The sequence below is a fragment of the Homo sapiens genome, chromosome 5, assembly GCF_000001405.40.
Source record: "Homo sapiens chromosome 5, GRCh38.p14 Primary Assembly".
In the NCBI taxonomy this organism is placed as follows: Eukaryota; Metazoa; Chordata; class Mammalia; order Primates; family Hominidae; genus Homo; species Homo sapiens.
This window is the reverse complement of record NC_000005.10, coordinates 50,754,719-50,779,236: the sequence shown is the minus strand read 5'-3', so window position 1 is coordinate 50,779,236 and position 24,518 is coordinate 50,754,719. Positions and strand designations below refer to the sequence as shown.

Genomic DNA, 24,518 nt, shown 5'->3' with positions numbered 1-24,518 from the left:
GTGTGTGTGCATGCGTGTGTGTGCATGCATGTGTGTGTGTGTGTATGTGTGTGTATGTGTGGTAGTAGGTAGGAAAAAACATTTTACCAAGTAAATTTTGGCAAGACTTATGATAGGGTCCTTTGTTGTAAACAGCTATCAGTTGAAATAAAATAGCAACATTGTCGCTTAAAGATTCAGCAAACAAATACACTATTATAATCTCCATGTTCAAAGACAGAATTTATATTGCATTAAAATTGAATCTCAGAATCAAAGACAGAAATAATTATATCTAAGGAAAACCCAAAATATATATATTTACTGAGTTTCTACTACATGCAAAGTACTCTTTTGGGTTTTTTAAATGTTTGTGTCTCAGAAACTTGTCAGTTTCTGAAAATCTATAAAATGAAATCTTACGTTTCTGTTTCCATAAGTTATATTGGCAATAAACCATCTTTCTTAGACTGCAAGCTTCTTTAAATACCATTATCAAGATATTTAGCACTTTTGCTCAGAACTGACAAATGAACACGCATTTTGCTTAAGGCATAGTGCACAGCTAATTAATATTCAAAATAATAAATAAAGAAATAAAACTAACCTGGGCCATTTAAATACTGTGTAAGTGAACAGTGTAGTCGAACAATTATAGGTTCTGTTCGAATTACTTCCCAAGCCACAGCAATCTCCTCCTGCACAAATATATTTAAAAGATGAATTAATCATCTTTTAGAGTTCAAAATGAAAAAAAAAACACACAAACTTTTAAAACTTGTGTTCGCAAAATGCATATAACATGAAGGCCTATAAGTTATCTCAAAACCCACTGTTTTGTGAAAATATTGGCCTTCTATGTATGAGAACTAAAAATGAATACTTAAAATATAACGAAGTATTGTAAAAGCCCATAAATTTCAGAGACCATTAGAAAAACCAATGCAAATATATGTTTACAAAATCGCTGCTTCTTTGACAAGTCACAGCAATTCTTCACAAAGCACCTTAACAGTCAATATGTAACTAATAGTATTATAAGACAAAACTGAAAATTAAATTTCCCCCAAAAATAAAATAAAATGTATTTTAAATGCACCATTCATATTACATAAAATTGATACTTACATCAAGAAAGCTAACATCGATATGCAGATCAATATCTACATCATCAATGGCTCCATATTCCCTGAAAGCAAAAATTAACACTGTTTTTTTCATTTTAATGATGCTTAAAAGATGGTGTGTGTTAGGTTATTTTATTTAAAATTTTAAATCACTAATTCTCATCCTTGATTTTGACAAATAGCTCACATCTAACTGTGGATATGAAATAACTAATAATCTAGTTGGACTGTCATTTTTCTGTTTATACCACATTGATATCTTTCTATTGTCTTGTACACGCACATGCATATATAAAATCAAGAGTTGCTTGGTTCATAGTTTTAAATATTCCGTTTTCTGTGGCAAATTAGTCAATCTTCCCATATGACTGCTTTGTTTTCACAGCACTCTGAGGATAAGGAGCTGCTTCTGAAGACAAGAAAGGAGTTGATGACATGAGGAAGGAGTATAGGGAAGACACACAATAATGCACCCATAATTTTTCCTTCTAGTTAGGCATCAGTGGTTCAGAAACCAATCCAAGTGTTCTGCCACTTAAATGTCAGTGTTTTGATGGGCAGCTCTAAAAGTCTGATATTAAAAAAAAAAAGGAACTGTAGTATATTCTACAGGAAGGAATTATGAGGACCAACTTTTGTACAGCACAGGTACTGCCACGAACCAACATACTTCTTAAGCGAATGAAAGAATATAAAAACAAGTTTGAATATTCTCCATATATAACACATCTGTATTTTTGATATTCTTATAAAATTCTGAAGTTACAAATGCTATGCATAGTGAGAGATAAAAACCACAGAAATAACTGAAATGATAAAAGTTAATGACCAATATTTACTCAGCACTGATGTGCCAGAAATTGTTCTAAAGATCTTACATACATGTGATAATTTAATACAGTACTCACAAAACACCTAAGGTACTACTGCCATCTCCGCTTTACAGATGCATAAATTGAGGCCCAGAGTACAAAGTAACTTATCAATCATCACTCTATAGCAGAGCTGAGACTTGAATACATGTATTTTAGTTAATATTCAAGAAACTAGCACTTTGTGTTGGAAACCAGGTCAAGCATTAATGGATGATCTCATTAGGTCCTCATCACAGCCTTGTGAGGTGGATAATATTACGACATTCATTTTGCAGATGAGAAAACTAAGATTTAAAGATGTGAAAAAAGTTGCCAAATGAAAAATAAGTTAGTGGGGAAGTCAGGAATTGAATATATGTCCAACTCTAAAACTGTGTCAAGTATGGTATCTGGCATATAGTTAAGTACTCACTAAAAATTTATGTCTATTATGTATTCAAGTAATAGAATTATAATACATAATTGTGGCACTTTTATAGAGTTCAGAGAAGAAACTTTTAATGATTGAAAAATTTTATGTGATTTAATGAATAAAGGAATCTAGGGGATCTTTTTCTTTCTAATATAAATGACCAAAAACCAAAGCATATTAGAATATAAAGTAGCCTCTGTGCTTTCTCCATTCTCTCCTTTAAAAATACATTAAAACATTGAGCACATTTTCAACTTTTATGAAATTACACTCTTATTCTTTCATGGTAATATCTTTAAATGTTACATAAAGGGATAAAAATGATTTGCATAGGTATTCCTTTTTAAAGACCATCAAAGCATCATAACATCTGTGCTTTGCAAACTATTTTCAAACTATTCTAAAAATCTGAAGAGGAAGGAATTCTTCCAAACCTGTTTTATGAGGCCAGCACTACCCTGATACCAAAACCAGACAAGGAAACAACAACAAAAAGAAAACTACAAGCCAATATTCCTGATGAACCAGATGCAAATATCCTCAACAAAATACTAGCAAACTGAATTCAATAGCACGTTAAAAAAATCATACACCATGATGAGCAAGTAGGATTCATCCTAGAGAGTGCAAGATGATTCAACATATGCAAATCAATAAACGTGATACATCACATTAACAGAATCATGAAGAAAATGTTATGATCTTTTCAACAGACAAAAAGCATTTGATAAAATTCAACATCACTTCATGATGAAAACTCTCAACAAATTAGCTATAGAAGGAACATAACACAATAGAGGCCAAATTTACAAACCTACAGCTGACATCACATTGAATAAGAAAAAACTCAATGCTTTTCCTCTAAAATATGGGAACAAGACAAGGATGCCCACCTTCACCACTCTTATTCAACCCAGTACTGGATGTCCTAGCCAGAGCAATCAGGCAAGAGAAAGAAATAAAGGATATCCAATTAAAAAAGAGGACGTCAAATTGTTCCTGTTTGTGGATGACATGATCGTATATATAAAAAACTCTAAAGGCTCCACCAAAAAAACTGTAAAACTAATAAACAAATTTAGTAAAATTGCAGGATACAAAATCAACACACATAAAAATCAGTAGTTTCTGTACACCAATAATGAACTATCTGAAAAATAAATGAAAAAACAAATCCTATTTACAACAGCTATGAAAAATAAAATACATAGGAATAAATTAAACCAAGGAGGTGAAAGATTTCTACAATAAAAAATAAAAAATTGTCCCTCTATTCTCTCTTCTCTCTCTTTCCACGGTTTCCCTCTGTTGCCGAGGTTGGACCGTACTGCCTTGATCTCGGCTCGCCGCAACCTCCCTGCCTCGGGCTCCCGTGATTCTCCTGCCTCAGCCTGCCGAGTGCCTGGGATCACAGGCACGCGCCGCCACGCTTGACTGGTTTTTGTATTTTTGGTGGAGACGGGGTTTCACCGTGTTGGCCGGGCTGGTCTCCAGCTCCTGACCTCGAGTGATCTGCCCACCTCGGCCTCCCGAAGTGCTGGGATTGCAGATGGAGTCTCACTCACTCAATGCTCAATGTTGCCCAGGCTGGAGTGCAGTGGCGTGATCTCGGCTCACTACAACCTCCACCTCCCAGCCACCTGCTTGGCCTCCCAAAGTGCTAAGATTACAGCCTCTGCCCGGCTGCCACCCTGTCTAGGAAGTGAGGAGTGTCTCTGCCTGGCCGCCCATCGTCTGGGATGTGAGGAGCCCCTCTGCCAGGCCGCCCCATCTGGGAAGTGAGGAGCGCCTCTGCCCAGCTGCCACCCCATCTAGGAAGTGAGGAGCGTCTCTGCCTGGCCGCCCATCATCTGGGATGTGAAGAGCGCCTCTGGCCGGCCGCCCCGTCTGGGAAGTGGGGAGCGCCTCTGCCCAGCCGCCCCATCTGGGAAGTGGGGAGCACCTCTGCCCGGCCGCCCATCGTCTGGGATGTGAGGAGCGTCTCTGCCTGGCCACCACCCCATCTAGGAAGTGAGGAGCGCCTCTGCCCGGCCGCCTCGTCTGGGAAGTGAGGAGCGCCTCTGCCCGGCCGCCCCGTCTGGGAAGTGAGGAGCGCCTCTGCCCCGGAAATGAGGAGTGCCTCTGCCCCACCGCCCCGTCTGGGAAGTAAGGAGCGCCTCTGCCCGGCCGCCCTGTCTGGGAAGTGAGGAGCGCCTCTGCCCAGCCGCCCCGTCTGGGAAGTGAGGAGCGCCTCTGCCCGGCCGCCCTGTCTGGGAGGTGAGGAGCGCCTCTGCCCGGCCGCCCATCATCTGGGAAATGAGGAGCGCCTCTGCCCGGCCACCCCGTCTGGGAAGTGAGGAGCGCCTCTGCCCGGCCGCCCCGTCTGGGAAGTGAGGAGCGCCTCTGCCCGGCCGCCTTGGCTGGGAAGTGAGGAGCGCCTCTGCCTGGCCGCTGTGCAATCTTCCAAGTGTGAAGTGACAGCCTTTCTGCAGGTGTACCCAACAGCTCCGAAGAGACAGTGACCATCGAGAACGGGCCATGATGACGATGGTGGTTTTGTCGAAAAGAAAAGGAGGAAATGTGGGGAAAAGGAAGAGAGATCAGATTGTTACCGTGTCTGTGTAGAAAGAAGTAGACATACGAGACTCCATTTTGTTCTGTACTAAGAAAAATTCTTCTGCCTTGGGATGCTGTTAATCTATAACCTTACCCCCAACCCCTTGCTCTCTGAAACATGTGCTGTGTCAACTCAGGGTTAAATGCATTAAGGGCAGTGCAAGATGTGCTTTGTTAAACAGATGCTTGAAGGCAGCATGCTCATTAAGAGTCATCACCACTCCCTAATCTCAAGTACCCAGGGACACAAACACTGTGGAAGGCCGCAGGGACCTCTGCCTAGGAAAACCAGAGACCTTTGTCCACGTGTTTATCTGCTGACCTTCTCTCCATTATTATCCTATGACCCTGCCACATCCCCCTCTCCAAGAAACACCCAAGAATGATCAATAAATACTAAAAAAAAAAAAAAAAAATTAATGAAATAAGTTCATCAGGACACAAAAAATGAAAAGATAATTGCTTGTTTATGGATGGAAGAATATTATTAAAACATCCATACTCCAGCCAAAGCAACCTACAGATTCAATGCAACCCCTGTCAAAATATCAATGACATCCTTTACAGGAATAGAAAAAGAATTCTAAAATTCACATGAAAGCACAAAAGACCCCAAATAGCCAAGGCACTGAGCAAAAAGAACAAAGCTGGAGACATCAAACTACCTTACAAAGCTATAGTAACCAAAACAGCATGGGACCAGCATAAAAATAGACATGTAGACCAACGAAACAGAATAGAGAACACAGAAATACATCCATACACTTACAACCAACTGATTTTCAACAAAGGCTCCAAGAACACACCTTGAGGAAAGAGCAGTCTCTTCAATAAATGGTGCTGGGAAAACTGTCCATGCACATGCAAAAAAATGAAACTAGATCCCTATCTTCATATACAAAAATCAACTTAAAGTGGATTAAAGATTTAAATGTAAGACCCAAAAATATAAAATTACTGGAAGAAAACATAGGGGAAATGCTTCATGGCATTTGTCTGGCCATGGATTTCTTGAATAAGAATTCAAAAGCACTAATAACAAAAGCAAAAATGGACAAATGGGATTACATCAAACTAAAAAGGAAACAATCAACATAGTGAAGAGACAACCTACAGAATGGGTGAAAATATAACTGCAAGCCATGCATCTCACAAGGGGTTTATATCAAGAATATATAAGGAACTCAAACAGTTCAAGAACAAAGACAAACAAACAAACAAACAAATAATCTGACTTTAAAAGGGGCAAAAGTCCAGGTGTGGTGGCTCATGCCTGTAATCCCAGCATTTTGGGAGGCCAAGCTGGGCAGATCTACTGGGTCAGGAGTTCGAGACCAGCCCAGCCAACATGGCGAAACCCTGTCTCTAATAAAAATTCAAAAAAATTAGCCAGGTGTGGTGGCACACGCCTGTAGCCCCAGCTACTCAGGAGGCTGAGGCATGATAATCGCTTGAACCCAGTCGGCAGAGGTTGCAGTGAGCCAAGATGGCACTACTGCACTCCAGCCTGGGTGACAGAGTAAGACTCTTGTCTCAAAAATAAAAATAAAAATAAAAATAAAAATAAAAGGCAAAAGACCCGAATGTGCATTTCTCAAAAGACATACAAATGGCCAACAGGTACATGAAAAAATGTTCAACATCACTAATCATCAGGGCAATGCAAATCAAAACCACAGTGAGATATCACTTCACTCCAATTAGAATGGCTGTTAGCAAAAAGATTAAAAAATAACAAATGCTGATGTGGATGTGGAGAAAAGGGAATCCTTTTGCACTGCTGGTGGGAATGTAAATTGGTATAGCCATTATGGAAAATGTATGAAGGTTCCTCAAATAATTAAAAATAGAACCACCATGTGGCCCAGCAGTTCCATGATTGGACATTTAACCAAAGGAAATGAAATCAGTCTGTCCAAGAGATATCTGTGCCCCCATGTATATTGCAACACTATTCACAACAGCCAAGATGCAGAATTAACCTAAGTGTCCATTAACAGATGAATGGATAATGAAATGTGGTACATACACACAATAAAATACTGCTCTGCCATAAAAAAATGAAGGAAATCCTGTCATTTGCAGCAACATGGATAAACCTGGAGGACACAGTCTTAAGTAAAGTAAGCCAGGAAAAGAAAGACAAACACTGCGTGATGTAAGTCATTTGCAGAATCTAAAAAAAGCTGATCTCATTGTAGTACAGAGTAGATTACCAGAGGTTGGGAAGCATAAAGGGAAAGATGATGAGGAGGAGAAACTGGTCAATGGGTACAAAATCACAGTTCAGTAGGAGAAATAAGTTATAGCACAGTAGAATGACTATGGTAAACACTAGTATGATATATATTTCAAATTAACCAGAAGAAAGGATTCTTGATGTTCTCACCACAAAAAAGATCAATGTTTGTGGTGGTGGATATGCTAAACACCATCATTTGACCAGTACACAATGTATATATGTATTGAAACATCACACTGTAAACCACAAATCTGCACAATTATTATGTGTCAATTAAAAATAAAATTTTAAAAATTGTGTAAAGCACAGTATCTGGCACTAAATAAAAATTTCTATCGACTATTCAAGTAATAGAATATAATCCCTTTTATAGGGTTCAGAGAAGAAATTTGTACTGATTAAATGGTTTTATGTAATTTAATAAGAAAAGGAATGTGGGAGATTTGTTTGCTTTTTGATATCTATGACCAAAATAATGTCAGCATATCCAAATATAAGGTAGCCTGTGTGCTTTCTCTGTCCTCTCCTTAAAAATATATTAAAACATTGGTTGGGCGCAGTGGCTCACGCCTGTAATCCCAGCACTTTGGGAGGCCGAGGTGGGTGGATCACTTGAGGTCAGGAGTTTGAGACCAGCCTGACCAACATGGTGAAACCCCGTCTCTACTGAAAATACAAAATTAGCCAGGCGTGGTGGCAAATGCCTGTAGTCTCAGCTACTCAGGAGGCTGACAAAGGAGAACTGCTTGAACCCAGGAGGTGGAGGTTGCAGTGAGCCAAGATCGTGCCATTGCACTCCAGCTTGGGCAACAAGAGCAAAACTCTATCTCAAAAAATAAATAAATGAATATATATATATTATATATATGTGTATATATATGTGTGTGTGTATATATATATATAGAGAGAGAGAGCACATTTCCATTTTTAAGGAAATTGCACTTTTTATTCATGGTAATATTTTTATAGGTTACATAAATAAATGAATAAATATTTACATAGGAATTAATTTTTAAAAACCATCAAAGCATCTATAATGTCTGTACTACATGATAAACATTAATCTTAAAGGATAAGATTATGTGCAAATTTCGGTATGAAAGTATACAGAAAGTATGACAAGAATAAGGGCCAAGCAAATGAACACTTTCATCTCTGCCTCTAGTTCAGGGTACCACAAACATTTTCTGTGAAGGTAAAGAGAGTAAATATTTTAGGATTTTCAGGCTACATACAGTCTCTGCCGCATCCATCTTTTCTTTTCTTTCTCTTTCTTTCCTTCGTTTTCTTTCTCTCTCCTTTCTTTCTTTGCTTGCTTTCTTTCGTTATTTCTTTCTTTTCTTTCTTTCCTCTTTCTCCCTTCCTTACTCCCTCCCTCCCTCCTTCCTTCCTTCCTTCCTTTCTTTTTCTTTCTCTTTCTTTTTTCCTTCTTTCCTTCTTTTCTTCTCTCTTGCTCTCTCTCTCTCTTTCTCTCTTTTCTTTCTCCAACCCTTTTAAAAAGCAAAACCATTTGTAGTTCACAGATCTGTTCAAAACAAACCTCACAGCCCAATGGTCATAATTTGAATGACCCTGAACACTGGCAAATATTTAATAAATAAAATCGTGAGGCATGTAAAAAGAAAGAGCCACTAAACTGAATGATGAGGAAAGATGATGAATGATGTTCAAGTAAAGTTTCAGGAGTGTGAAGGGGCCCTGTCTACAACCACACTTTGCTCACAGAAGTTAATCCTAAGAAAATAATAACAAATATATTCAAAGTCTTATCTACAGCCATGTGGGTAAGAACAGAAATTGAGAAAATAGATATAGAATAATAAGGAAATAGTTAAGTAAACTATAGCATGTTGATAGGAGAAAAAATTACCCATTAGTGAAGGAGTCGATACAAAAATATTCATATCCTGGGGGAAATGTTGCAAATATACTGATAAGCAGATTACCAAAAAAGCACGGAAGCTAAAATGATATTTTTAAGAAAATAGAAACAGGAAAATCAAGAGTAAAAACAGTACTTATATATCAACTCTAAATTGTGTGTAAAACTTATTTTATGAAAAATGTTATGTATTTTCTAAAAACATATGCCTACTTTTTCTGATTAAAAAGGTAATACAGGCTCATTATATAAAATGTGGGAAATTTTAAAATGCACAAAAATAATCTGTCTTATCACAATATGGAGATGATTCTTTTTGCTTATCTCATTCCAGTCTCTTCCATGTATACAAGATTTATACAGTGTAATATATAAAGATTGTGGTTCTGTTCTTTCACTTCTTCTATCATCAGCTGTTTTTCCCATATTGCATTATATTTTATATAATATAATGCATAATTTTATAATATATATAAATACAACACAATTCCTTTTTTGTTTACACTATAAATATTGGTAAACAGCAACTGGATAAAAAAAATCTATGTGCATCTGTCTTCTCATAGAATCACTTCTTGAATTACTGGGTTAAATAAACATTATAACCATATTTGGGATTCTTGATGTATGTTGTTTAGTTACTTTTTAAATGGTTACAACAACTTATAATTACACCAGCCAGGTTATCACAATGACCTTTTCCTACATTCTCATCATCATCAGACATTTTTTTTCTCCCATCTTTGCCAATTTTATGGGAGGGAAACAACTTTTTTTTTTCTTTTGAACTTATTTACATTGGCAAAACGCTGGTACGTTTACAGGCAGGAAGATTAAAAAAAAAAATCAGTACGACCCTTATCTACAACTGTTTTCCCCATAAATAGTTTTTCAGATTACTTCAACAGAATTTACCATAAAGGAATAATCAGAACGTGCATATATGCTTTTAAAACCTCTTACATGTGAATTTCTAAGTATTTTGTATATGATGTCTTAAATGACCTTTTGGTTAAAAGTATCTTCCCAATTTCTAACACTCCAAAAAAAGGAAATGAAGGGTTGCAAGTGTTCCTCTTCTTCAACATAGCAGAACATGAATAAAGAATTTTAAGGAGGCAGAGGCCTAAAGGTTTGCAATTAACTGGATTCTGCAGGTGTAGATCTATAAATAGTTATACTTTTTTCTTTGTATGCCAGATTTCAAAGAATTCACAAATGACGCTGTGTATATGCAAACCCATTTCCGTTGTGATGCCCTTTTTATATAATGCCAGTAATTTCATATTTCCCACTGAGAGATTACAAAGCGTGATTACAGTTTGTCCAGATGCAGCGACCCAGTCATCAGGATTGCTTCTATATCTGAATAACTTTCAGTGGCCCAGGATCTCATGAATAGCAAATGCAGAATCAAGTTGAATGCTTGAAATATGACTACAACTTGAATTGTGAAGCTAGACATCTGATTGTGTCCTGAATGCAGTATTCGGTATATAATAACTCAAAATAATTTCATGTGCTGCCTATATTTATTCACTGTGAAAAGATCACATCAAATTGATGAATTCAAATTTTTTTAATATGAGGGAAACAATACAGAAATGATCTAACGAAATTGCTTCATTCTGGTCTGAAAAGAATGCCTCCACAAATGTTCTTTCCCGACATGTAGTGACATATTAAATTCAGGGTGAGCTACTCTTTTAATCTACATTTCTTGAAATCTGGTAATTTGATTTTGGATATTTAAATGTGACTTAGTTCATTTAAGCATATATGTATAAAGTTTTTTTTTTCAATGAATATGGACTTTGAGCCACTGTGTTAGAATTCTTAGCAATTTGTTCTCCTATTTTTAATGGAACTACTCAAGACAATATCCTCACTCGTGAGACACTCACATACACACTTACAATATATTAAATGTTGGAGCATCTATGTTGGTCCTCCTTTGTCTATAAAACTTCAGCTTATTCATTACACTGTTATGATGTTTTATAATGAAACCTGATCAAAATCAGCAGTCATTGTGTTGGTTATGAAAATATATTTCAGATATCTAGCCTTGTCTTATTAACTGTCAGGGAACACACACACACACACACACACATATATGTATATACACATACGTGCATGCATGCAACTCTACCACATGTTCCTAGGAAGTAAGCCTCTATTGCTACTTGTTTATTTCTTCTTTCAACAACTGGATGGTTATATTTTGAGAAGACAGATATTTTGTGAAGATACATACACCTTCCCATGTCATCTGAAACTCAACAGCTTGCATGTCTATCTCTGCATGCCTACTCAATGTGTGGTTTTTGCCCAGCGTGGGAGAGATGTTTGTGAATGGGCCAAGAAATATGCAAACTCAGTAGTCAGGAAGAAATTCTGGCAGATTAAAGCATTTGCAAGACTGCATCCAAGGTAGCTATAAATTTCTCTAAAGAACAACAGGGCTGAGAAAAATTTAAAAATTAGATCCAGATAAGAAAGGAAGCTCATGTAAAACTGTGCATAAGAGGTACAGTATAAACAACTGCTACAACTCTGCAGTCAGCTTAAAAATCTTCAGTTTTGCTAGGAGAAAGCCCTTGCGTTGGGAGTAGTGGTTAGTGTCTAGGATCTGAGCACCTGAAGCTTACATCTAGATTATGTCCCCGTGGTTTGGGAAAATGCTCTCTCCTTTCTTTCCCCTCTGTGCCTCCTGTCATCACTTCCCTGATTTTCAGAGTCAGACTGTTTTTATTCTTTGGCTTGGAGGCAGAGGATGAAGACTCAATATGCTAGAAAGGAGATTACAAAATATTCAATCCAAGATCTTTTTTTGATGAATGATATACATCTATGTAGGCTGAGGTATGTTGTGGTAATAAGCATTCTTAAAATCTCAGTGGCTCAAAACGAAAAAAGATTTCTATCTCACTCCTACCTTATTGTTAATATAGAATTGGGGGTTAGGGAGGGGCAGCTCACTGTCGTCACTAAGGGGCCCAAGGAAGCAGAGCTGAGGGGACATGGGAACTAACACACTAGCACTTAGCTCACATATGACTGGCCAAAATTAGTGATATATCCATGCCTAACACTAAAGAGTGAAAGGAAATACAATCCTACCATAAGACCAGAACAGGAGAACCAGAAGATATGTAAGCAGTCCTACTGGCCACTACAAATGAGAATTCAGAAATCCAGAGAATGTAAAGCAGTGCATTCTGAGGTATGCATTTTTTTTCTTTCCTTTCATTTACCATTTTTGTTTTTTAAAGGAGATACATGTTTGGTGGGTATGAGTAACGTGATATACGTTCCTTAAGCCACCCCAAATTCTCAGAATGCTCGTTTCCCAAACGTTACCCTCAAAAGGCCCAATTACAATTGTCTGTGCACAAAAAGTGATCGAAATAGTCACAACAGTTGACTATTCACAATAGAACAGTCACAATAGAACAGTCACAATTTTAGAAGCTTCCAGCCTACATTAAGCATTAGTCACAATAAAAAGGTTAGACTATTACTCATATGACTTAAATTTTCTAAATGAAAGATGGCATGATAATAAGGTAAAGAATATTTTATATTAAATGGAAGTTTTAAATTTCACAAAGAAACTATCAGAATCATTTCTTTCCTAAACAAATATGAATTTTCTGATCTGTAATTCCCTTTCTAAAAATACTAATTTCAATTTATTTTCCAATGACACTGATCAATTTTATTTTCATAAATATATAGGGAGGTACATTTACAATGAAAAACATAAAATGCGTTTTGTTGAATGATTCAAGATGAGACTTATTCAGACTGATCGCAAAGTTCATGTTGCCCCAAGACCTAACTCACTTCCTATACAAAAGACTATAAATCAGAATTATCATCAATGTTTACATGTATGATTCAACAGCCAGTAGTAGGCTTTTGGATAGAATGGTGAGGTAGAATTGTCATTACCTACTTAAGTAATATATCTATCATCACTCACTTTTTCTACACCTTCTTTCAGCCTTCTTTAAGAGGATTTTGCCTCAATAATCTCAGGATTTTGCCTAGGCAATCTCAGTTACTTCCATCTCTTACAGAGAACTTAGATGTGGTTAGCTGCCTTTCTCATTAGACGTTGCTTTAAAAAAAAAAATTACTCCTAATAGCCTGTTGTGCATATTGAGTTACTTTTGCTCTTCAAACTTCATTAAGTTCTTGTAAGCCCCAATTAGGTAAAAGAACAGCTAATTAGAACAGTCTGTTTTCAACAGACTTAGAACTTTGCAAGGAAGATGATTTCAAGACCTTCTGCCTAACTACCCACCTCTTTTCCCTTGAATCCAAGCCTAAGTATTTGAAACTAGACAGTAAATTCATTCCCATTTAAGTAAATCAAACTAGTCCTGCTGTGATTCACCTTTGTACCATGAAGACTCTAGGAAGATATTTATTTTGGAAATATCCTCTACAGCTAGAGAAAATCTAGAGCAGGCAGGAACATGGCTTACATTCATTAAGATTTAAACTGGATCAAAACTATTACAAGTGAAAAGGGTTAAGGGGAAAAAATTCAAAACACTGATATGACTTTAGATACTTCATTTGACTGAATTTCCAAACATTTTTTAATCTAATTTCAGCAGCTAACAATTATCACTAACTTAATTAATAATAGAAAATACTGATACAGACCATCATAGGTACTTAACAAATGCTTGGTGAAGGAACAAAAAAAGACCTTCATCTATACATGGCAATATGACTGGGGCCTAGACAGCATGGAAAGATGTTTTAGAAAAATATTTAACTATAAAAGAAATAAACATGTGCTAAAGTTGTCCACTAAACAAAAATATTTCTTTCTTTTTTTTTTTGAGACGGAGTTTCGCTCTTGTTGCCCAGGCTGGAGTGCAATGCCACGATCTCAGCTCACTGCAACCTCCGCCCCCTGAGTTCAAGCGATTCTTCTGCCTCAGCCTTCTCGAGTAGCTGGGTTTACCGGCACCTGTCACCATGCCCGGCTAATTTTGTATTGTTAGTAGAGATGGGGTTTCTCCATGTTGGGCAGGCTGGTCTCAAACTCCCAACCTCAGGGGATCTGCCCTCCTCGGCCTCCCAAAGTGCTAGGATTACAGGCATGAGCCACCGCGCCCAGCAACCAAAATATATATTTCAAAAAAAAAGAAGTTGAAGTCTATGTTGTATTATGATTGTTATATCCCATAGACATATTTTGGTGTATATCGAGATGTAGATTATTGTGCTTAAAATTAAAGTTTTAAGCTTTCAAGCAAAGTTCAATTACTGTTAAAAAAAAAAAAAAGAAAAAAACACAGCCATTGTTTTGGACTATGTATTGATAGTCCCAATTGCCTTCTTCATATATGCATTCTATAACACTTATAAATATGCATATTACCTAATCTGGAGCCATAACAGAGATCAATGTAAAATTATTGCAGCTAATTTGCTAAAACTTTGAAGTCTGCAAAGAGAAGACTTGCTTTTCCAAATATAATCCCAACACTTTCACTCAATTGTAGCCTAATATACCTTCATGAATAGAACAGAGACAGCCTGGGTACACAATCCCAGTTTATCTTAGGCTGCAGATGGTAGGGAGTTTCTATTTCTGCAGTTAAAATAAAATGTTTGGCAATTATAAATTACAGCTGTGCCATACTTCCCAATTGAAATTACTTGTTTGCCCTCTCAAAATATGCATATGTCCATTGAAGAAGTTACAACCAGATAATGTGAATGTCTTTTTTCAGATGGTGCCACTGAAAATAATCAGGAAGCCGGCAGCCTATATTTCATGCATGTCCCATGATGGTACCAGAATACATGAAGAATTAAAAACCAAACCAAAACAAAACGAACAAGAAAAAGCACTGCCCAACCATTCACTGAATTCAGTCTACAGGGGGAGACGTAAGCCAAATAATTAAAAGACATGAGACGAATAATAAACAAGGTAAGAGCCAAATGTGATGGAAGTCCAGAGAACAGAGTAACTTATCTGCACTGGAGATTCCAAGAAGGCTCAGAGAGAAGCTGACCCATGGACTGGGGCTTAAATACAGACAGCAGTGGGATTTGAAGAGCCGCATTCCTTGATCAAAGAACGGCTTATGCAAATGCCCAACGTGAAGCGGGAATATGACATATCTGGGTAGTCTGGGAGCATAAAGGGGCCAGACTGAGGTCAGGCTACGAAAGGGGTCTGGAATTCCATGGAGACTTCAAGACTACAGTGTAGGCAAAGAATGGAAATCTGAAATAACCAGAGCTGACTCCTGGAAACTATTATGGTGGCAGAAAAAGCTTTTTCTTACATTAAGGAGAAAAAAGAAAAGTAAGGATGGTGGGGTCTTCTGAAGTATTAAAAGCAATAAAAATGATGTGTAAATTTATCACCAAATAATATATTAGGTAACTACAGAATAAAATACATGATCATTCAAACAAGTACTGTGCAAAGTTACACTTTTTTTTTTTTTAGGGACCAGATGACAATGTAATTTGGATACCAGTGGGTAGGCATCATTTACTTTTATCCTTCACAAGCATGTGGCCATGATTTATGATAACAGCATGGGCCCAGCTGGCCAAATCTATTCTAGGAATTAATTATGACACTACTTAAGATTGATATGTCTTCAAACTAACTCTCCAAAATAATTTTTAATGCAATCAATGTAATCTTAAACCACATGTATCAAAAAAATAGCCATAAATATGTCATTTTGTGTAAGGATAAACAGTAGACTCTTTCTAAAACACTTTAAAATACAATTAAAACCCCAAATTTTTCCTTTAAATTACTCCAAAAGTAAATTTCAATGACTTACCATAAAACTTTAATTTTATTCACCAGTGATACTTATTTACCTGAGAGAAACTGCATGTGGCCCATATATCTCTCTAACTGCTGACAAATCAGCTTCCAGTTGTGGGTGCTTGTGCAGTTCCCCATCATAGTTCACCTGATGAAAAGGGATAATTTAAAAGTGTCTCAGAAGTGAACAGAATCAAAAACTTAAGCAACCTTTTGAGACAGGTCTCCCTGTGCATTTTGCCATGGGCATTTTTAGCTTCAATAAAGTAATATATTCACTAATATCCTTAGGTTCACATATGACTAGAAAAATTGATTATGGTTGGAACTTAAAGTTAGTTTATATTAATACAAAGAAAAAGCAAATGTAAAAAACTAGTGAAGTAAATGTCTGGCAGATAATCTAAAAAACTTCTAGAATGAACATCAAGACTGAAGAAAAGCAGTTACTTCCCCTCTGTAAGAATTAGTTGTGTAAACAAAAATCAAACAGGAATGATTTTGCATAATGTTAAAATGTTATACTGGTAAAGGAATCATTTCGTTGGGAAAACTATCTTATTGCTAGAAAGACATTCCTGGAGAGAGGAAAGCCCGTTTTATTATATCCATCTCTCTGTAGCCTTGCACATGCTTGATTGACAAATTGCTAATTTTTCATTCTGAATAAATAAATTTACTTGCATTCTTTTACATAATTTTGGCTTTAACGTCCTTCTTTAACATATTGCCCTCCCATTATACTATCCAACTTATAAAGCACATTTGCTCAAGGAGTTTATAGAAACAGAACCACATATTATACAGCCACACCCTAAAATCAATTGCTCAGTTTTAAATTTTAACATTATCCTGAAAAATTCTGATGAGTTCTTTTATATATGTGGCTAGGCTATTCTCATATATTTAAATTATGATGATTCTTCATAACAATTTTTCAACACCAAGAATTCAATGGCAGTGAATACAAATAAACAAATGATGAAGATGCTCAGTAATGTGGGCCCATCAAATTTAATAAAGGTTAACCAGCTTCTATTTAAAACTAACAATATACACTTTTATTACAAGTGTCATTATCTCAGAATAGTGACTGAACACAACATGCTTAAGAAATTCAAGTCAAAAGCATAATAAAATACTATCTGCAAAATCGCTGTAATGAATTAAGATGACTTCAATGTAAATAAATGATTACAATTGAAAGGACTGCAGGGGAACCTTAATTTCTAAAAATAGGTAGAAAATGTGCAAAGATAAATTATATAGATTTTCTAGTTAGTTACAGAACCCTGAACAACACACAGGTCCCTTAACTCTCAGGCACAGATTACCACTAGGACAACATGGCTATTAGAACTTTAAGACTAGGTATTTGGAAGACCAGGTTTCCTTACCTGCCCTCCGTAATAAAATTCTTCGGAATCATTGTCACCTTCAGAATCTTCCTCCACTGTACTATTCTGTCTTGATTCCTTAAAATAATAAAGTAAGAAAACAATTTAATGGTCAAATTATTTTACCTTTCTAAAATAGCAAGTGACTATAATAGGCAAGTCTTGAGCATATATTATGGATTTTATATATAAAACATCTTGGTGCAGTAAAACCCCAGAACAAAAGGTAGTGGGAGACAAATGGCTTTGTGAGTGTATTCAGCAGCACACCTGTTTTAAAAGTTCTCTTTCACTGATTTTACAGGAAATGCACAATTCAATATTTGATGTATATTAAAAACTTATGTATAATCAATTATACCTTCAGTTTTGCTCTGATAAAACATTTGGCAAGCTTATACTAATTCAATTTTATTAAAAAGCTCCTCAGCATTATTTGTCCCAGGCTGTTCTCACTTCCCCTGCCAACTCTAAACAATGGTATGAAAAAAAAGAAACTTTAAATGCAATAATATATAATCAAATTATGAAAATAAATATGAAACATATGAGAACTTTTGATATACAGAAATTATTTGTTTCAGAATTCAGATTTCAAAAGGGTATTTAATTTAATATGCTTCAACTTGAAATTTGAGTTTCTAATTAACTGAGCCACATCTGCCATGTGTCTGAAGTACAAACAATGAAAATTCATGGGGGTATTCCTATCACTGGCCCTATTAACACAGGAGAAATGTAGGTATTTGGACACAGGAATCCATTCATCCAGTGTTTTGTAACCATCCCTAAACTTCTACACTGAATTTCAAGTTCTTAAGGAAAACAAACAAAAAAATATGCAAAAGGAAATTTGGGTTTTATAAAATTCTAACCATTTCTGGTTTCAGCAATCCTTTTGTTCAACCAATAATTCTCAATGTGGATAAAGAAGGGAACAATGAATGGTGCAACACTAACAGGAAGAGGAGGATTGGATCAAATGCATAATTTTGAAAGCAAAGAACTGCTGGTCCTATTGCACTCATTTTGTTTGTTTAATATCCTGATATTTATTTATAGATTCAAGTAAAGTCTTTGGAAATGGAGAGAAAAGATGAGTTTGTGTTTTTAAATACTGACAGAAAATAAGACTATGTACAACCTCAGTGTTACTTTGGCTAAAGAAATCATCTTTTAAAATTTTAAGGATCCCATCAAAATTATGTATAGCCACGTGCAGTTATAAATCAGTTACATAATGTTCCTCAGCTAATTACAGTGTTTGATGAAAGAATACAGAATAAATTAAGCTTTATATACATTTTATTTAGATTTAAACCAGACATTTCTTTCTATGATTTTAAGGGGAACTTTCTTCTCAGAGTTAATTTTAGGCCACTTCCTACCATACCAAACACCCCTGAGCCATTAGCTTGAGTTTCATTCACCATATACCATTTTAGTCTCACTAATGATGCTATTAACTACAAAAACCCAGTAAATTTTAAATATATCTATACTGTTTCAAGAAAATAAAAAATATAATTTACATACCTCCCCATTTTCCTTTTGTAATTTGGATTTTATGGATAAGCAACAGTTAATGTCATTTGTTTTTCTTAATTCTGAAAGAAAGTTGTAATTTAAAAAATATTATGATACTTAGTATGCTATTTACCAAGCATTCATAAGTTTTGGTATAAAACTACCCTTTAGGTGATTCCATCTCCTCTGAAAAAGAATTAAGGGATATTTTGAAATCATGTCATGTTGAGGAGTTACACAATACGCAAGCTATTCTGATTTTTCACTGTGCAGAAAGATGTGATTAAACTAAACCACCACTTTACAAATTCCTTCAGCTCTCACTCTATATTTCATGGTGTCTTCATTGCTGTAAGTGTGGTTTTAAAATATTCAGTCTGTCACTATGTAGGAAAATATTTTTACAACAGCAATGTCAGCATAATACATTTACACAGAATTTTTTTACAACTACTTTAAATTTATGCATTTACAAAATTGTTAAAAAATGTACTTTAGATAGAAAATTTGTATGGAGACTGGATTTATAGACACAGAAGATAAATATCTGTTACTGGCTAAATGAAACAAACAAACAAACAAAAAAAGATAATGCAATTTAAAAAATTAACCTAGTATAAAAAATAATACTACTATTACCTGTTGCTATTCTATGAAAAATTACTGGTATTGGCTCTGTAGTAACTAGCACATCTTCATCATTCTCTGAACTTGACACATATGTATTATCTGCAAAAAAAAAAAAAAAAGATAATGAAAGGCATAAGTTTAAAAAATACATCCTTTACAAAAATAATAGCTAATTTATATGCACATCACTTTAGTTCCAACTCTCATAAAGCATACACTACTGTTTGATTAAACTCAAAAAATATGATAAAGTAAATTGCAGATTTATGTGTGAAGTAATTGTAAATAGTCTCTTTAAAGACATTTGTATCTCCTGGTGAAATACAGATTTTGAATAGAGACTATCCAGGTACATCTGTAATATCCCTTATGGCAATGAATCATTTGGATGCAACTGGGTGCCTTAACTCACTGGACAAGGTCCTTCCCAATATCAGCATCTACTATAGGAAGCAGGGTTAGTGAGTGGAGAGAGAAAACTGAAAAAGAGCATTTGTTGCAATAAAAAAAAAATTTATTAGTGGGCCGGGCACAGTGGCTCACACCTGTAGTCCTAGCTCTTTGGGAGGCCTAGGCAGGCGGGTCACTCGAGGTCAGGAGTTTGATACCAGCCTGGCCAACATGGTGAAACCCCCATCTCTAAAATAAAAAATAAAAATAAGGAAAGATTCATTATCAAATCATTCAAAAATTTGAGCTGAAGACTTTGTTGTAAATCATACCTTCCATATTGCTCTAATACATATTTTTAAATTGATAAAGTCTCACAATTATCATTCTTCCATGAATTAAATTAGCTACATGCATTATACAAGTTGAGTGCACAAAATACTAAGTTAGTCTACAGGGTCCTTAAATTTCTTATTCACTATTTGTTTCCTCTTTAAAAAATAACATTTTTATGAGTTTAGCACTCTTTCCCTAATGAATACAGGTCTCCAAGTATATGGTAATACAATTCTTAGGTATTTATTTTTCTTTGCTCATTGATGATTGCAGGGCATCTCTCAGAAGAGCTTTTTGACCCACACTTCATCAATTCATTAATAATGGTCCTATAATGCACTCATCAATGACCTACTAAATAGTATAAAATACCACGAACACATAATAGAAGCATGGATCAATTTCTGCTAGGAGAAATTAGTTGTTCTTATGGCGCAGGGAATGCACATTAAAAGATATTTTTGAGCCCAGTTTTCATAATATTGTGTCGGTACAATGAGAACACAATTTTTAATTAATACATCTCTAAGTCATTATTTCCAAAGAAACATCTGTAGCATTCTTAGCCTCAAGTAATGAGTGAATGATAGTGATCTGTATGTACAGGTTAGCTGCAAAAGATTCTCAACAGACCTAAGGCTTTAACAGTCAGGGAGCTAAGCAGGAATGGATATGAATTAAATTTGAGACAAAAGATGTTTGCCTCATTATTTGGATTAGTGCAATCACAAATTTTGCTTTATTTAGTTTTCCAATATTTTCATGGAGCATGTGAGGTTTTCATGCTTATCGAGTGGGACCACAGATTAAGAAACAGGTTTAATATAAACTTAATTATTATCTCATTAGTTGAGACTTTGATCACTTATCTAGAGTCTCTTCTGCCAGTAACCTCATACTTTCAGTAAGTATCAAAAACGCCTATTAGAGTCAATGTTTTTTTATTATGTCTTAAATCCTCACTCAGAGTCTCACTGATTTGAAGTCGGTTGCTACTTAATATAAAACCTAATTATCTGTTTTCCCTGTGCACAATGGAGTCCCTGGAGCTAACATTTAGGAGAAAAAGAGTATTAGAAGGCACCATTAGACCAACAGAAACAAAAGCTGGCCACCAAGTAGAAGGGAAGATCCAGAAGAATCCGTAAGGTGGATAGCATCATGCAATTTTACAGTATCATAGAATGACGAAGATTTTACTAAAACACCAAGAGGTAAGTAATTAAGACATTATGTTTAAGAAAACAGGGGAGTGAATAACTAAATAGAAAGGATTTTCTATCAAAATGGCTTACATAAAGTGTCAACACTGGAAGACAGTGAGATTTGATTCAAGAGAATATAATTTGGTGACTATAAGTTGCATAGGCTAGACAGCATTATGCCTTCAAACGTATCATTTTCTGAAAGATTTTGTATAGTTTGTATTTTGATTAGTGTTTAGGAATTAGAACCCATGTAATTTCCTATTTTGGCTTAATTTACCCCAAATAAAAATGTTTCCAGGTTTTATGACATTATTTATTAAATTGCCGTTATTACATAATAGGCCAGATCAGATCACAGAGATAGACCCAATCTATGATCAGAAACATAGAACAGGAAAGAAAGCACATCAAACCTAGAAAACTGGTTCAATTATTTGACAGAATTCACTTCACTCTGAATTCAAAGCACTCTGTTCTCTTTTTGGAAGATTTTTGATTACTAATTTGATCTCCTTACTGATTATTGGCCTGTTTTTTTTTATGATTCAGTCTTGATAGGTCTCTAGGAATTTATCTATTTCTTCTACTTTACCCATTTCAGCAATCCTTTTGAGATCCACAGGAAACGGAACCAGGATCTTGAAGCAATATCTCCACCACCATGTGCATTGTGGCAGTATTCACAATAGCTAAGAAGTGGAAACAACTTCTTAAGTTCTAAGTGTTCATCAATGGATGGTTGCATAAAGAAACGGAGGTACACATATACAACAAAATACTACATTCAGCAACTGAAAAAGAATGAAATCCTGCCATCTGCAACAACATGGATGAACATGGAAGACGTTATGCCAAGTGAAATAAGCCAGACAACACAGAAAGATAAATACTGCATGATTTCACTTCTATACGGAATCTAAGTAAGTTGAACTAGTATAAGCAGAGAATAAGAACAATGGTGGCCAGGGGCTGGGGGACACAGCAAGATGTTAGCTAAAGGGTACAAACTTTCAGTTAAAGCTATAAAATGAACACGTTCTGGGACCTAATGTATAACATGGGTGGTGATGGATATGTTAATTAATTTGATCGTGGTAATTACTACACATGTATACATATATCAAATCATCCTGTTGTATAACTTGACTATAATCAAGCTTTATTTGACAATTAAATATTTTAAGATTAAGAAAAATCTAGACACTACTGCAGACTAGCTATTGATCTCCTTTAGCCTAAGCCACAGTTTTAGCTATAAAATGAGAGGTTTGCTCATGATCTTTGATGATCATCCCATCTGTATGAATCCATTCTGTTGGCTTTTTGTTCTTGCTTAATTACTTCTAAATCTTCCTCAAATTATTTTGACATTTGTAAAAAAAAATTTGTTTAGAGAAGAATGTGGAGCGTAAAAAGGGTTAAAGAAAGGACTTAAAGTAATAGAATAAGAATGGGATGTATCTCAAAATAATAAGAGCTATCTATGACAAACCCACAGCCAATATCATACTGACTGGACAAAAACTGGAAGCATTCCCTTTGAAAACTGGCACAAGACAGGGATGCCCTCTCTCACCACTCCTATTCAACATAGTGTTGGAAGTTCTGGCCAGGGCAATCAAGCAGGAGAAAGAAATAAAGGGTATTCAATTAGCAAAAGAGGAAGTCAAATTGTCCCTGTTTGCAGATGACATGGTTGTATATTTAGAAAACCCCATCGTCTCAGCCCAAAATCTCCCTAAGCTGATAAGCAACTTCAGCAAAGTCTCAGGATACAAAATCAATGCACAAAAATCACAAGCATTCTTATACACCAATAACAGACAAACAGAGAGCCAAATCATGAGTGAACTCCCATTCATAATTGCTTCAAAGAGAATAAAATACCTAGGAATCCAACTTACAAGGGATGTGAAGGACCTCTTCAAGGAGAACTACAAACCACTGCTGAACAAAATAAAAGAGGATACAAACAAATGGAAGAACATTCCATGCTCATGGATAGGAAGAATCAATATCGTGAAAATGGCCATATTGCCCAAGGTAATTTATAGATTGAATGCCATCCCCATCAAGCTACCAATGACTTTCTTCACAGAATTGGAAAAAACTACTTTAAAGTTCATATGGAACCAAAAAACAGCCTGCATTGCCAAGTCAATCCGAAGCAAAAAGAGCAAAGCTGGAGGCATCAAACTACCTGACTTCAAACTATACTATAAGGCTACAGCAACCAAAACAGTATGGTACTGGTACCAAAACAGAGATATAGACCAATGGAACAATACAGAGCCCTCAGAAATAATACCACACATCTACAACCATCTGAGCTTTGACAAACCTGACAAAAGTGAGAAATGGGGAAAGGATTCCCTATTTAACAAATGGTGCTGGGAAAACTGGCTAGCCATATGTGGAAAGCTGAAACTGGATCCTTTCCTTACACCTTATATAAAAATTAATTCAAGATGGATTAAAGACTTAAATGTTAGACCTAACACCATAAAAACCCTAGAAGAAAATCTAGGCAATATCATTCAGGACATAGACATGGGCAAGGACTTCATGTCTAAAACACCAAAAGCAATGGCAACAAAAGACAAGATTGGCAAATGGGATCTAATTAAACTAAAGAGCTTCTGCACAGCAAAAGAAACTACCATCAGAGTGAACAGGCAGCCTACAGAATGGGAGAAAATGTTTGCAATCTACTCATCTGACAAAGGGCTAATACCCAGAATCTACAAAGAACTCCAACAAATGTACAAGAAAAAAACAACCCCATCAAAAAGTGGGCGAAGGATATGAACAGACACTTCTCAAAAGAAGACATTTATGCAGCCAACAGACACATGAAAAAATGCTCATCATCACTGGCCATCAGAGAAATGCAAATCAAAACCACAATGAGATACCATCTCACACCACTTAGAATGGCGATCATTAAAAAGTCAGGAAACAACAGGTGCTGGAGAGGATGTGGAGAAATAGGAACACTTTTACACTGTTGGTGGGACTGTAAACTAGTTCAACCATTGTGGAAGATAGTGTGGCAATTCCTCAGGGATCTAGAACTAGAAATACCACTT

The 24,518-nt window shown here is 35.8% G+C and overlaps 1 protein-coding gene across 14 annotated transcripts in view; it reads right to left on the bottom strand.

Moving 5' to 3' along the window:
• Positions 1-24,518, bottom strand: part of PARP8 (poly(ADP-ribose) polymerase family member 8) — a 180,589-nt gene that overhangs the window by 67,283 nt on the left and 88,788 nt on the right. For 10 of the 14 annotated variants that reach the window (NM_001178055.2, XM_047417705.1, XM_011543631.4 and 7 more), the window contains 6 exons: positions 19,505-19,594; positions 18,875-18,945; positions 17,339-17,416; positions 15,995-16,089; positions 1,108-1,168; positions 587-677 (listed from right to left, as the gene is read on the bottom strand). In NM_001178055.2, coding sequence (NP_001171526.1) covers positions 587-677; positions 1,108-1,168; positions 15,995-16,089; positions 17,339-17,416; positions 18,875-18,945; positions 19,505-19,594 — 486 coding nt within the window. Of the gene's footprint in view, positions 1-586; positions 678-1,107; positions 1,169-15,994; positions 16,090-17,338; positions 17,417-18,874; positions 18,946-19,504; positions 19,595-22,021; positions 22,119-24,518 lie in introns of all 14 variants that reach the window. The other 4 variants (XM_011543634.3, XM_047417707.1, XM_047417706.1 and 1 more) reach the window with 2 other exon arrangements.